The sequence below is a fragment of the Homo sapiens genome, chromosome X (genome assembly GCF_000001405.40).
Source record: "Homo sapiens chromosome X, GRCh38.p14 Primary Assembly".
NCBI lineage: Eukaryota > Metazoa > Chordata > Mammalia > Primates > Hominidae > Homo > Homo sapiens.
The window spans coordinates 77,582,702-77,596,532 of record NC_000023.11 but is presented as its reverse complement, the minus strand read 5'-3'; the positions used below and the strand labels follow the sequence as shown (position 1 = coordinate 77,596,532).

Below are 13,831 nucleotides of genomic sequence, written 5' to 3'. Positions count from 1 at the left end.
GTATATGGATATATTTTATATATTTTTGTAGCTTATATACGTGTATAGTATATTAGAAGCATTCTCCAGAACTAATAGATAATAAAAATTTATTTTTTTCTTTGCATCTAAATTAACTCCATATAAAATGGAGTATATCATAATGTATGGACATACGTAGCTGGTATTGTATAACTTTAAAAAAAATGACTTTCTTACAGTAAATATAAGAAAATCTGAATAGGAAGTATTAAGGGGCTAGTCTGCCTCCTTAGCGCAGTAGGCAGCACATCGGTCTCATAATCTGAAGGAAGTATTAAAGGGTTAACAATGTTGTACCTGGAATTTGAAATGGATATTAAATAATTAATTACCTATAATTGAGCTACAATATGATTTTTGCCACATATTTTATTTTCACGTCAAAGAGTTACTGTTTGCTTTAATCCTTTTGTAGTAGCTGTCTCGTTTTTCTGAGAAGCAGCATCTTGAATGAGTCATTTAAGTTTAGCTTACATCATCCCCATTTCTGTGTTTTAAATGTTTTTTATTAGAAGGAGAGTTCATGATCACGAAATGACTATGTAAATTACTTCAAAGTGTTAGATTTATTATTACTTAAGTATTTTTAGAGTAAGCTTCATTGGTAAGCATTTGCATTTTAAAACGTATGTAATTGTATGGATATAAAGTTTTGTGACAGAATCCTTGTATATGATGTAGAGCCGTAATATTAGTACTAATATACCATATTTATTCACTCAACAGATATTTATAAAGTGCTTACTATATGCCCAGACATAAGGAGGGAACTGATAAGCCTAAATGGTAAATTGAAGAAGGTATGCTATGGAAATCCTAGGGAGATGCTAGTCTTGAGACTAGCAGCTTTGATTTTCATTTATCCAGGGACAGGATTTGAGACTTCGAGCCCTCTATAAGTTGGAGAGTTCTGTGACCCCTTCTCAAAGCTGAATCCCTTTAAAGTTTACAATCCCATCGACAATCCAGGGAGTTGACAAGGAAGCTTATCTATTTCAGCCAGGGCTCTTGGTTGGGAAAAATAGTTACATTGAATTTACGGTCATGGCCTTCACCTCACATACTTTATGGTTTGAATTTATATTACTCATATAGTCTAAAAGATCCGAAACTGAAATATTAACTTCACAAGTAATTCTGAGTTGGTGATTCCCTGGAGACCTGGTAGAAGCAAATGTAGAATCACTCTGGAGATATATGACCTTAACCAAGGCTACCCAGAAATTTCACAGATTGTAGCTACACCTGAGAAAATAACCTTAGGAAAAGCTAGGAACAGAAAGTATTAGTAGTCAACCTGAGGAAAGTTAGCATACAAAATAAATGGCATGATTAGATTCTCAAGAACTTCTGATAATAGAAGTATTTGATAAAGACTATAAGTATGTCTAAAATGATATTTTTAAAATTCCTAATCATAACTTTATGCCAGAAAATTTAAAACTTAAAATACACAATATTTAAGAAAAATATACTCAGCAATGAGCATTCGTTGCAGTTATTTCATATTAGCCAAAAACAAGAAACAATCTAGATGTCTATGAGGAGAACTAATAAATGATAGTGTATTCATGCAGTGGAATACTACATGGTAGTTAGAATGATTGAACGGGAGCTCCATGTCAAGCATGAGTAAATCTCGCTTTGAGTGAAAAAGTAATTTGTAGGATTTTACAAACAGTATAGCCATTTGTACAGTTTAGTGATACACATGCAGTAAAAAACATAAAACACTGCAAAAAATGGTAAATATATAATTTAGGGGTTTAGTTACCTATTGGAAAGGAAGGAAGGAAAGAGAATGGGATCATGTAGGATCATATATTAGGCTTCAGCTTCATCCGAAGTTTTAACAGTGTTAAAATTTGATGAAGATGGAATGTGGAAGCACATTTGTTTCTTATATCTTATATACTTTTCTGAGCATTTAAATTTTTGTAACAAAAATATATTTTAAAATACTTTGCATTAAAAAGCAATTGAGAAAGTGTATAAACATGCTAAACCTGCATATTTCTTATTTTGAATCAAACTATGTTTAAATCTTTTAATAAATTATTTTATGCTACTTTCTCCTTCCACCTTTCATAGTCAAAGTTTGTGGGGAAAATATATAAGAACGAAATCATTTAATATGATATGCTGATTCTGGGGTCAATTCTTGTTGGCGGTTTCCAGATCCTAGTAGCACAGTGAAATGTTTTCTACCCCCAAGGTCTTTTCTCTCGTGGTAACTGAGCCTTTCCATCTCTGTTGATTCCTGTCTCATGGAGTATGTTTGGGGGCATTTTACTCTCTTAGGGCCTGGTGGGAAGGGGATGGTTTCTCTTCTCTTTGGGTCTCTGTCTTTCTGAGCTCCACTCCTACCCCGAGGGTTTGTCTCTTACACTTGCACTCTCTCAGAGTCAATCTCTTGCTTGTTCTCTTATTTGGCATCTCCTTCCTTTCTCTTTTTCTATCTAGAGCTCACTCTTCTGGGATAGTCTCTGTCCTTCTGTGCTGTATGTGCGTGTGCCTGCCTTTCTCTTTTTTCCCTCCCCTCTCCCAAGTCCCCATCAGTTTCTTTCTTACTCTCCCCATGGGTAGGTCTTTTTCTGTCTCTCTTGCTCTCTTTCCATTTCTTTTCTAATTTACCTACTTATGTTCCATTTGTCTTATTTAGGTAAAGCTACTTCTTCTTCTAATCCAAGCAGCCCAGCTCCAGACTGGTACAAAGATTTTGTTACAGATGCTGATGCTGAGGTTTTAGAGCATTCTGGGAAAATGGTACTTCTCTTTGAAATTCTTCGAATGGCAGAGGAAATTGGGGATAAAGTGTAAGTGCTTTACCATATTTATTATATAAATTAACCTTTTGATTATGTTTTTATTGCTTAAACAATGTATTTGAACAAATCTGTTGCTTTTCCTTCCTTCCTAAAGATGTGATTTATTTGGTCATTGTAGTGCTAGGCCAATACAAGCAACTATCTTTTTTGTAAGCCACTAGTTCTGATTGCATATTCAGGTTATTTCTTCAGTGTAAATTTCTGCTTCTACCTATTGCAACTTGAACTTATTTCCTTGGGTAGAGCTCTTAGTTGAAATTTGTGTTTCTCCATCTTCAAAATCATTTTTCGGTTTATGTAGTGTGACTTCTACCGTGTTGCTTTACTGAGATTTCCCCCTGTAAAGTCACTAGTGACCTTCTAATCCTCAAATCTAGTGGACATCTCTCAGGCTTTATTTTATTTTACCTGCTTGATTATTCTTTCTTCTTCTTCTTCTTTTTTTTTTTTTTTTCATTATGAGACAGGGTCTTGCTCTGTTGCCCAGGCTGGAGTGCAGTGGCACAATCACAGCTTACTGCAGTCTTGACCTCCCAGGCTCAGGTGATCCTCCCACCTCAGCCTCTCCAGTAGCTGGGACTACAGGCGCACACCACCATGCCCAGCTAGTGTTTTTATTTTTAGCAGAGATAGGGTTTCACCGTGTTGCCCAGGCTGATCTCGAACTCTTGAGCTCAAGCAATTTGTGCGCCTCAGCCTCCCAAAGTGCTGGGATTACAGGTGTGAGCCACCACACCTGGCCTGATTATTCTTTCTTTATCATTTATTCTTTGTTTTTTGTTCCACTTCTAACATTTTTGCCACCATTCCTTTCTTTGCATCTTCACCCCCCTTCAAATTACTTTTCCAAAAACATTATTTTTTTTTTTTTGAGACGGAGTTTTGCTGTTGTTGCCCAGGCGGGAGTGCAATGGTGCGATCTCGGCTCATCGCAACCTCCGCCTCCCAGGTTCAAGTGATTCTCCTGCCTGAGCCTCCTGAGTAGCTGGGATTCCAGGCACGCACCACCACGCCCAGCTAATTTTGTATTTTTAGTAGAGATGGGGTTTCTCCATGTTGGTCAGGCTGGTCTCGAACTCCTGACCTCAGGTAATCTGCCTGCCTCAGCCTCCCAAAGTGCTGGGATTACAGGCGTGAGACACCACGCCCGGCCTCCAAAAACATATTTTTAAAGTTTTGAACAAGACTTACTGTCTAGGCTGCTAGGTCCCAACATCTGATTATAAACGATTTTTAAAAGTATCTGAGATGCTTTTTTTTTTTTTTTTTTGAGACGGAGTTTTGCTCTTGTCACCCAGGCTGGAGTGCAGTGGCGCAATCTCAGCTCACTAAAATCACCTCCACTTCCTGGGTTCAAGTGATTCTCCAGCCTTGCCTCCTGAGTAGCTGGGATTACAGGCACACACCACCACGCCCAGCTAATTTTGTTTTTTTAATAGAGACGGGGTTTCACCACGTTGGCCTAGCTGGTCTTGAACTCCTGACCTCAGGTGATCCACCCGCCTCAGCCTCCCAAAATGCTGGGATTACAGGTGTGAGCCACCGCGCCTAGCTTGAGATGCTTTTAATAAAAATTTTAAATAAGGCTAAAATAAAATAATCTTTTATGTTTAAAAAAATCTCAAAATATGGTCTGAAACAAAAGAGTTCTTCATGTTGTCTGCAACTGGAAAAGGTTAATAGAGAGAACCATTAGTATAGACATTTAATCCTAACAACTTTTTTCCTTTTCTACTGTAAGACTTCTCTGAGTTCAGTGGTTCCCAGAACCAGCCTTAATTGCTAACTGACTAAAATCAACCTCTTTCCAGTATAGTAACCCAGATTGCAGATTAATTCCAATTTAATAATTAGTATTTCTAAGACTTTAATTTTTTCACTTACGGGAACTTTCAAGAACTTAATTTGTAGCACAGAAAGAATTGATTCAATTATGTTTTTGATTTTGGGAAAGATAAACTACTGAGGGGTCAAAGCATAGGCCTTGGTCATTTGAGCTGAGCACCAGGAGTCAATTCATTTTCTTACCAACATTCTAGAAGTAGTTAACTGGGAGATAGTAGACTCCAACAGTGTGGAGCTCAGGAAGTCATACAATAAAAAACACTTAAGTGGTTAACTCCAACAGCCGTTTCATAGCTTCAATTGTTTTCAGTTCTACTAAATCTGAAGATATGTAGCAGGGAATGTTGAAGGATCTTCAGGAGTCATAAGTACCTTCTTCTCCTATAGTATAGCTTTTAGAATAAAAATAAAACTTAAAGCATACTTGCCACAGGTATATTGTTTCTTATATACTGATCTACTTTGTTTGCATATATAAAGGGCAATAGAAGACCTCTTATATTCTCTTTCTAGATTTTATTTCTTTTCTAGTGTGTAAGTATGTTATAAATTCTGTCCAGTGGGTTAGACCAGAATAGTCATTTTAGAACTATTTCTCAGAGCCCCTGCAAATTGGTGACCGAAAGGAGAGGGTAAGGGAACAGTAACATTTTTCCTCCTTCTCCCGTAATGCCTAAAACAGCTTGCTTTTATAATTTATTTTATTTGAACTCTACACAAAACTTGATGTGACCAAATAGTTTTCATGGCTAAAAAGGAGTTAGAAAATTACTAGGGCAGAGAATGAGGAATTTGCAGACATACTTGAAATGTAATGACAAAGTGTTATAGAATGCATGTAATTTTAAATTACTGAAATACTTGTAATAGGGAAACTTTTTACATTCTCTAAAACAGTGTCTTTTATAGAGCAGAAGTTTTAAATTTTGATGAAGTCTAATTTATCAACTTTTAAAACAATGATACTTTGTGTCATGTGTAAATAATTTTTTACCTAACCCATGTTATGAAGATTTTCTTCTGTGTTCTTCTAAACATTCTGTTCTTACAGTTTTTACAGTTAGATTTATGCTCCATTTTAAGTTATTTTTTGCATAAGGTATGCAGTTTAGGTTGAAGTTCACTTTTTTTCATGTGGATGTTCAGTTTTGCTAAGACCATTGTTTTTGTCATGTGGATGTTCAGTTTCGCTAAGACCATTGTGTAGGTTTTTTTTTTTTTTTTTTTGAGACAGAGTCTCGCTCTGTCACCCAAGCTGGAGTGCAGTGGTGCGATCTCCACTCACTGCAAGCTCCGCCTCCTGGGTTCACGCCATTCTCCTACCTCAGCCTCCCGAGTAGCTGGGACTACGGGCGCCCACCACAGTGCCCAGCTTATTTTTTTTGTATTTTTAGTAGAGACGGAATTTCACCGTGTTAGCCAGGATGGTCTCGATCTCCTGACCTCGTGATCCACCCGTCTCGGTCTCCCAAAATGCTGGGATTACAGGCGTGAGCCACTGCGCCCGGCTACCAAGACCATTGGTTAAAAGACTATCCTTTTACCATTGAAATGCCTGGGCCCTACAATTAATTATCCTATGTGGCTCTCTATCTGGACTCTATTCTGTTCTATTGATCTGTGCCTGTCCCTTTACTACACTGTCTTGGTTACTGTAACTTTGTAAGTAATGAAATCATGAAGAGTCAGCCCTCCAACTTTGTTTTTCTTTTTCAGAATTGTCTTCCCTCCTCTGAGGTGGCATTCTCATATACATTTTACAATCACCTTGTAATTTCTACAAAAAAATCCTGCTGGGATTTTTGTTACAATTGTGTTAAATTTGTAGATCGATTTAGGAAGAAGTGATATCTTTACTAGGAATCTTCTAATCCATAAACACTAATCTGTTTTTTTAGCCTTGTTTTCAGCCAGTCCCTCATATCTCTGGACTTGATTGAAGATTTTCTTGAATTAGCTAGTAGGGAGAAGACAGAAGATAAAGATAAACCCCTTATTTATAAAGGTGAGCTACAAATATTTCTGTGTCGTAATTTTAAAAATACTGATTTAAACATACCATACAAACATTTTAGCAACAAAAGAAACAAAACTACCCAGTCTCACAACTCTATCATATCAAAATTTTTTTGCAATGTCTATTTGTCCTTATCCATATATATGTATAGTCTTTTTCAAAATAAAATTGTATTGTTTATATTTGAGGTTTACAACATGGTGTTATGGGATACATATAGATAGTAAAATGGCTACTGTAGTGAAGCAGATGAACATATCTATCATCTCACATAGTTTTTTTTGGTGACAAGAGCAGCTAATATCAACTTAAGAAAAATTCCTAATACAGCAGTCTTTGTTGTTGAAATTGTTGGATAAATTAAAACTTTTTGGTTTCTAAAGCAGTTTTATTGAGAGATAATTCACATCCTGTACAATTCACCCATTTAAAGTGTAGAACTCAATGGTTTTAATATATTCACAGAGATGTACAAACATCACTAGAGTCAGTTTTTGAACATTTTAATCACTACCAAATAAAACTCTGTACCCTTTAACTATTACTCCCCTATCCAGCCCAAAACTCCCTCACATAAGCAACCACTAATCTCCTTTATGTTTCTAATAGATTCATATATTCTGGACCAGTCACATAAATGGAAACATGTAATATGTGGTCTTGATAGATATTAGGGTTGTTCTCACCTTTCAGCTGTTGTGAATAGTGCTGTTGTGTACATTTGTTACACAGGTTTTCATTTATTTAAACAAACGGCAATACCAAACTGTTTTCTACACTGCCTGTACTATTTCAGTCCTACCAGCAATGTACAAGCATTTCAGTTTCTCCACATTCTTGTCAACACTTGTTATTTTTCATTTTTGTTTTTGTTATAACCATCCTAATGGTTGTGAAGTGGTATCTTATGATTTTAATTTTCATTTCTCTAATGACTAATAATGTTGAACATCTTTTAATGTACTTGTTGACTATTTCTTTATCTTCTTTGGAAAAAATGTTTATTCAGGTCCTTTGCCCATTTTTGAATTGGATTGCTTATCTTTTTGTTGTTGAAATGTGTTTTAAAAAATATATTCTACATACTAGGCCCCTATCATATATATGATTTGCAAATATTTTCTCTCATTCTGTGGGTTATCTTTTGCTTTCATTAAAAAAAAAATAGTTCCGGTGATCTGTATCACTTTCTTTTATTTATTTATTTTTAATTTTTCGTAGAGATGAGGTCTCCCTCTATTTGCCCAGACTGGTCTTGAACTCCTGGGCTGAAGCAGTCCTCCCTCGTTGGCCTCCCAAAGTGCTGGGATTAAGGTGTGAGCCACCATACCTGGCCATCTGTTGCTTTCTTGAGTGTGTCCTCTGATGCGCAAAAATATTTTATTTTGTTGACATCCAATTTATTTTTTCTTTTGTTGCTTGTGCTTTTACTGTCATAGCTGAGAAACCATTTCGAAATAAAAAGTCGTGAAGCTTTAACCCCTGTGTTTGCTTAAAAGAGTTTTATAGTTTTAGTCCTTGCACTTAGGTCTTTGATCCATTTTGAGTTAATTTTTATGCATGATATGAGGTAAAGGCTCAACTTCAGTCTTTTGCTGTGGTTATCCATTTGTCCCAGGACTGTTTGTTGAAAAGAATATTCTTTCTTTATTGAATAGTTTTTGTCACTCTTATTAAAAAGGAATTGATGATGGAGACACATGTTTGTTTCCTGACCCTCAATTCTATTCCATTGATCTATATGTCAGTCGCTGTGCTAATACTGCACTATTTCATTACCATTGCTTTGAAAGTGATGTTGAAATTGGAAAGTGTGGCTATTCCAGATCTCTTGGAATTCAACATCAACCTTAGAATCTCCTATAAATTTCTACAAAGAAGTCAGCTTAGATGCTAATAGGGATTGTGTTGAATGTATAGTTAATTTTAGGAAGTACTGCCATCTTAATATTATGTCTTATCCATGAACATGGGGTGTTTTGCTGTTTATTTAGGTCTCTTATTTATTTCACCAATATTTTATAGTTTGCAGAGTATACATTTTACACTTTTGTTAAATGTATTTGTACATATTTTATTTCTGAGGCTGAGTGAAATTTGTTCTTAGTGAATTCTTTAGGATTTTTTATATACAAGATCATGTCATCTGCAAGTACAGATAATTTCCTTTCTAATCTGAATGGCTTTTATTTGTTTGCTTATCCAGTTGCCCTGGTTAAGACCTCAAGTACAATGTTGAGTGAAAGTGGCAAGAGCTGGCATCCTTGTCTTGTCTCTAATCATAGTGTGAAGGAATCCAGTTTTTCAACATTTTGTATGATGTTAGTTTTGTGGATACTATTTATCAAGTTGAGGAAATTATCTTCTCTTTCTAGTTTGTTAAATGTGTTTGTCATGAAAGAGTGTGACATACTATCTTGATTTCTCTGCAGCTATTGAGATGATCATGTCATGTTTTTTTTTTCCCCATTCTATTAACATAGTGTATTACTTTGATTTTCACATGTTAAACCAACCTTGCATACCTGGGATAAATCCCACTTGTCATGGTGTATAATTCTTTTTATATGGTGCTGGATTTAGTTTGCTAGTGTTTTTTGTTGTTGGCAATGGAATGTTTTAATTGGCTTTTTTTGTCCTGATTATGAAAGTATTATTATATCTTGCATATATAATATTGGCTGTATAATATTCTGTCATATGGCTGTACATAACTTATTTAATCATTTGATTGCTTTCTCTAATTTTTCAACTTTTTTTTTTTTTAGAGACAGGGTCTTGCTCTGTCACCCAAGCTGAAGTGCAGTCGAGCAATCTTGGCTCACTACAGCCTCTGCCTCCTGGGTTCAAGCGATTCTTGTGCCTCAGCCTCCTGAGTAGCTGGGATTACAGGTGTGTGCCACCATGCCTGGCTAATTTTTGTATTTTTTGTAGAGATGGGGTTTTGACATGTTGGCTGGGTCTTGAACTCCTGGCCTCAAGTGATCCACCCGCCTTGGCCTCTTAAAGCACTGGGATTACAGGCGTGAGCTACCACACCTGGCCTAATTTTTCAACATTTTAAATTTTTGTACATAAGTTTATATCTGCGTTTTAAACTTTTTTGCTTAAGATAGATTCCTAAGAGGAGAAATCATTTACCAACAGGTATGATCTTTTTTAGGACTTTTGAAACATTGTCAACTTATTTTCCAGAACAGTTGGATTAGTACTCCTAGTAGGAATCCTTGAATGATCACTACACCATTGCCATAATAACTAAAACCTTTCTTAATAGATGAATAATGATATCTTGTATTTGTTTTAATTTGCATTTATTTTATAACCAGTAACATAGATTGTCTCTGCTAATCTCTTTTTGCTTTTACTGCTGACTGATGGCTATGTTTCTGTCTGCCTGCAATGCTCTCTCCACCCGCACTATCTTCTTCACCTGATTAATTCCTATCCATTCTTCATCTTTCATGTCCAGTGACACTCCTCAGTACTGACTTCCCTCCTCCTGACTCCAATGTCTGATTTTTTCCTTTTAATTTTTGTGGGTGCATGGTAGGTGTTATGTATTCATGGGTTACATGAGATATTTTGATACATGCATGCAATAGATAATAATTACATCAGGGTAAATGGGATATCTATCACCTCAAACATTTATCCTTTGTGATACAAAAAATCCATTTATACTCTTAGTTATTTAAAAATATACAATTTTTAATTATTTTTGACGGTAGTCACCCTGTTGTGCTAGCAATTACTAGTTTTTATTCATTCCAACTATATATTTGTACCTGCTAACCATCAGTACTTCCACCCCAACCACCCACTACCCTTCCCAGCCTGTGGTAACCATCCTTCTACTCTGTATCTCCATGAGTTCAATTATTTTTATTTTTAGATCCCACAAATAAATGACAACATGCAAAGTTTGTCTTTCTCTGCCTAGCTTATTTCACTTAATGACCTCCAGTTCCATCCATGTTGTTGTAAATGACAGGATCTTTCTCTTTTATGGCTGAATACTATTCCATTGTATATAAGTATCACATTTTCATTATCCATTCATCTGTTGATGGACACTTAGGTTGTCTCCAAGTCTTGGCTATTGTGAACAGTGCTACAATAGACAGTGCAGATATGTCTTCGATATACCGATTTCCATTATTTTGGGTATATACCTAGGAGTGGGATTGCTGGATCCTTTTTTTTTTTTTTTTTTTTTTTTTTTTTTTTTTTTTTTTGGTGGGGGGAGACAAGGTCTTGCTCTGTCACCCAGGCTGGAGTGCAGTGGTGTGATCTTGGCTCACTGCAACTTCCACCTCCTGAGTTCAAGGGATTCTCCCACCTCCGCCTCCCCAGTAGCTGGGACTACAGGCATACACTACCACGCCCAGCTAATTTTTGTATTTTTTTGGTAGAGACAGGGTTTCACCATGTTGGCCAGGCTGGTCTCAAACTCTTGACCTCAGGTTATCTGCCTGCCTTGGCCTCCCAAAGTGCTGGGATTATATAAGTGAGCCACTGCGTCTGGCTGGGATTGCCGGATTCTATGGTAGCTCTATTTTTAATTTTTTGAGGAACCTCTGAACTGTTCTCCATAGTGGTTTTACTAATTTGTGTTCCCACCAGCAGTGTACAAGAGTTCCCTTTTCTCCAAATCCTCTCTAGTATTTGTTACTCCCTGACTTTGGATAAAAGCCAAGTTAACTGGGGTGGGAAGATATCTCATAGTTTGATTTGCATTTTTCTGATAATGAATGATGTTGAGCACCTTTTCCTATACCTGTTTGCCATTGGTATGTCTTCTTTTGAGAAATGATTATTATTTTGTCCATTTTAAAATCAGATTATTAAATTTTTTTTCCTGTAGAGTTGTTTGAGTTCTTTATATATTCCGGTTATTAATCGCTTGTCAGATGGGTAGTTTTCATATATTTTCTCCCATCCTGTGGGTTGTCTCTTCACTTTGTTGACTGTGTCCTTTGTTGCGCAGAAGCTTTTTAACTTGATGAAATCACATTTGTCTGTTTTTGCTTTTGTTGCCTCTGCTTGTTGGGTATTACTCAAAAAATCTTTGCCTAGTCCAATGTCCTGGAGAGTTTCCCCAATGTTTTCTTGTAGTAGATTTGCAGTTTGAGGTCTAAGATTTAAATCTTTAATCCATTTTGACTTGATTTTTATATATGGCGAGAGATAGGGGTCTAGTTTTTTTCTCCTGAATATGTATATCCAGTTTTCCCCAGCACCATTTGCTGAAGAGACTGTCTTTTCCCCAGGGTATATTCATGGCAACTTTGTCAAAAATGAGTTCACTGCAGATTTATACATTTATCTCAGGGTTCTCTATTGTGTTGATCTATGTGTTTTTATGCCAGTACCATAGTGTTTTGGTTACTATAGTTCTGTAGTATAAAGTCAGGTAATGTGATTCTTACACTTTTGTTCTTTTGGCTTAGTATAGCTTTGGCTATTTTGGGTCTTTTGTGGTTCCATATAAATTTTTAGGGTTGTTTTTTGTATTTCTGTGAAGAATGTCACTGGTATTCTATACAGATTGTAATGAATCTGTAGATTGCTTTGGGTAGTATGGACATTTTAATAATATCGATTATTCCAATCCCTGAACCTGGAATATCATTCTATGATTTTGTGTCTTCAGTTTCTTTCAGCATCTTTTTATAGTTTTCATTGTAGAGATCTTTCACTTCTTTGGTTAATTCCTAAGTATTTTATTTATAGCTATTGTACATGGGATTACTTTCTTGATGTCTTAAAAAATTTTCTTTTAATTTGTAAGTTTCTTTATTTCTCTTTCAGGTTGTTTGCTGTTGGTATATAGAAATGCTACTGATTTGTGTATGTTGGGTTTATATCCTGCCACTTCACAGAATTTCTTTATCATTTCTAATAGTTTTCTGGTGGAGTTTTCAGATTTTTCCAAGTTAAGATCAGATCATCTGCAAACAAGGATAATTTGATTTTTTTCTTTCCAATTTTGATGCCCCTTATTTCTTGTTCTTGTCTAATTACTCTAGCTAGGACTTCCACTACTATGTTGAATAAGTGATAGAAGTGGGCATCCTTGTCATGTTCTTGATCTTAGAGGAAAGCCTTTTAGTTTTTCTTTCTTTAGTATGATACTAGCTATGGGTCTGTCATAGATGGCTTTTATTATTTTTGAGGTATGTTCCTTATGTACTTAGTTTTTTTAGTGTTTTTTCATAAAGGGATGTTGAATTTTGTCAAATGCTTTCTTACCATGAATTGAAATGATCATATGGTTTTGTTTTTTGTTTTTTTTTTGAGACGGTCTCACTCTGTTGCCCAGACTGGAATGCAATGGCGTGATCTTGGCTCACCGCAGTCTCTGCCTTGCAGGTTCAAGTGATTCTCCTGCTTCAGCCTCCTGAGTAGCTGGGATTACAGGCGTGTGCCACCGCGCCTAACTAATTTTTGCATTTTTAGTAGAGACGAGGTTTCACCATGTTGGCCAGACAGGTCTTGAACTCCTGACCTCGAGCGGTCCACCTGCCTCGGCCTTCCAGAGAGCTGGGATTACAGACGTGAGCCACCACACCCCGGCGATCATATGGGTTTTGTCTTTCATGCTGTTGATATGATGTATCACATCAATTTGTATATGTTGAACTATTCTTGCATCCCTGGAGATAAGCCCCAGTTGGTCATGATGGATGATCATTTTATTATTGAATTCCGTTTGCTACTGTTTTGTTGAGGATTTTTACATTAGTATTCACCAGTGATATTGGCTTATAGTTTAATTTTTTTATGTGTGTTTATCTGGTTTTGTTATCAGGGTAATACTGGCCTTGTAAAATGAGTTTGGAAGTATTCTGTTCTCTACTTTTCAGAATATTTTGAGTAGGATTTGTCTTATTTCTTATTTAAATGTTTGATAGAATTCAGCAGTGAAGCTATTGGGTCCTGGGATTTTCCTTGCTGGGTGACTTTTTATTATGGCTTCAATCTCATTACTTTTTATTGGTCTGTTCAGATTTTGGACTTCTTCACGGTTCAATCTTGGTAGGTTGTGTGTGTCTAGAAATTTATCCATTTCTTCTAAAGTTTTCCAATTTATCGGCATATAGTTGCTGATAATAGC

The 13,831-nt window shown here is 36.1% G+C and overlaps 1 protein-coding gene across 10 annotated transcripts in view; it reads left to right on the top strand.

The window, feature by feature from the left end:
• ATRX (ATRX chromatin remodeler) overlaps positions 1-13,831 on the top strand; it is a 281,337-nt gene that overhangs the window by 189,684 nt on the left and 77,822 nt on the right. For 9 of the 10 annotated variants that reach the window (XM_005262156.5, XM_005262157.6, XM_006724666.5 and 6 more), the window contains 2 exons: positions 2,684-2,837; positions 6,593-6,699. In XM_005262156.5, coding sequence (XP_005262213.2) covers positions 2,684-2,837; positions 6,593-6,699 — 261 coding nt within the window. Of the gene's footprint in view, positions 1-747; positions 822-2,683; positions 2,838-6,592; positions 6,700-13,831 lie in introns of those variants that run through there. The other variant, XM_047442191.1, reaches the window with a different exon arrangement.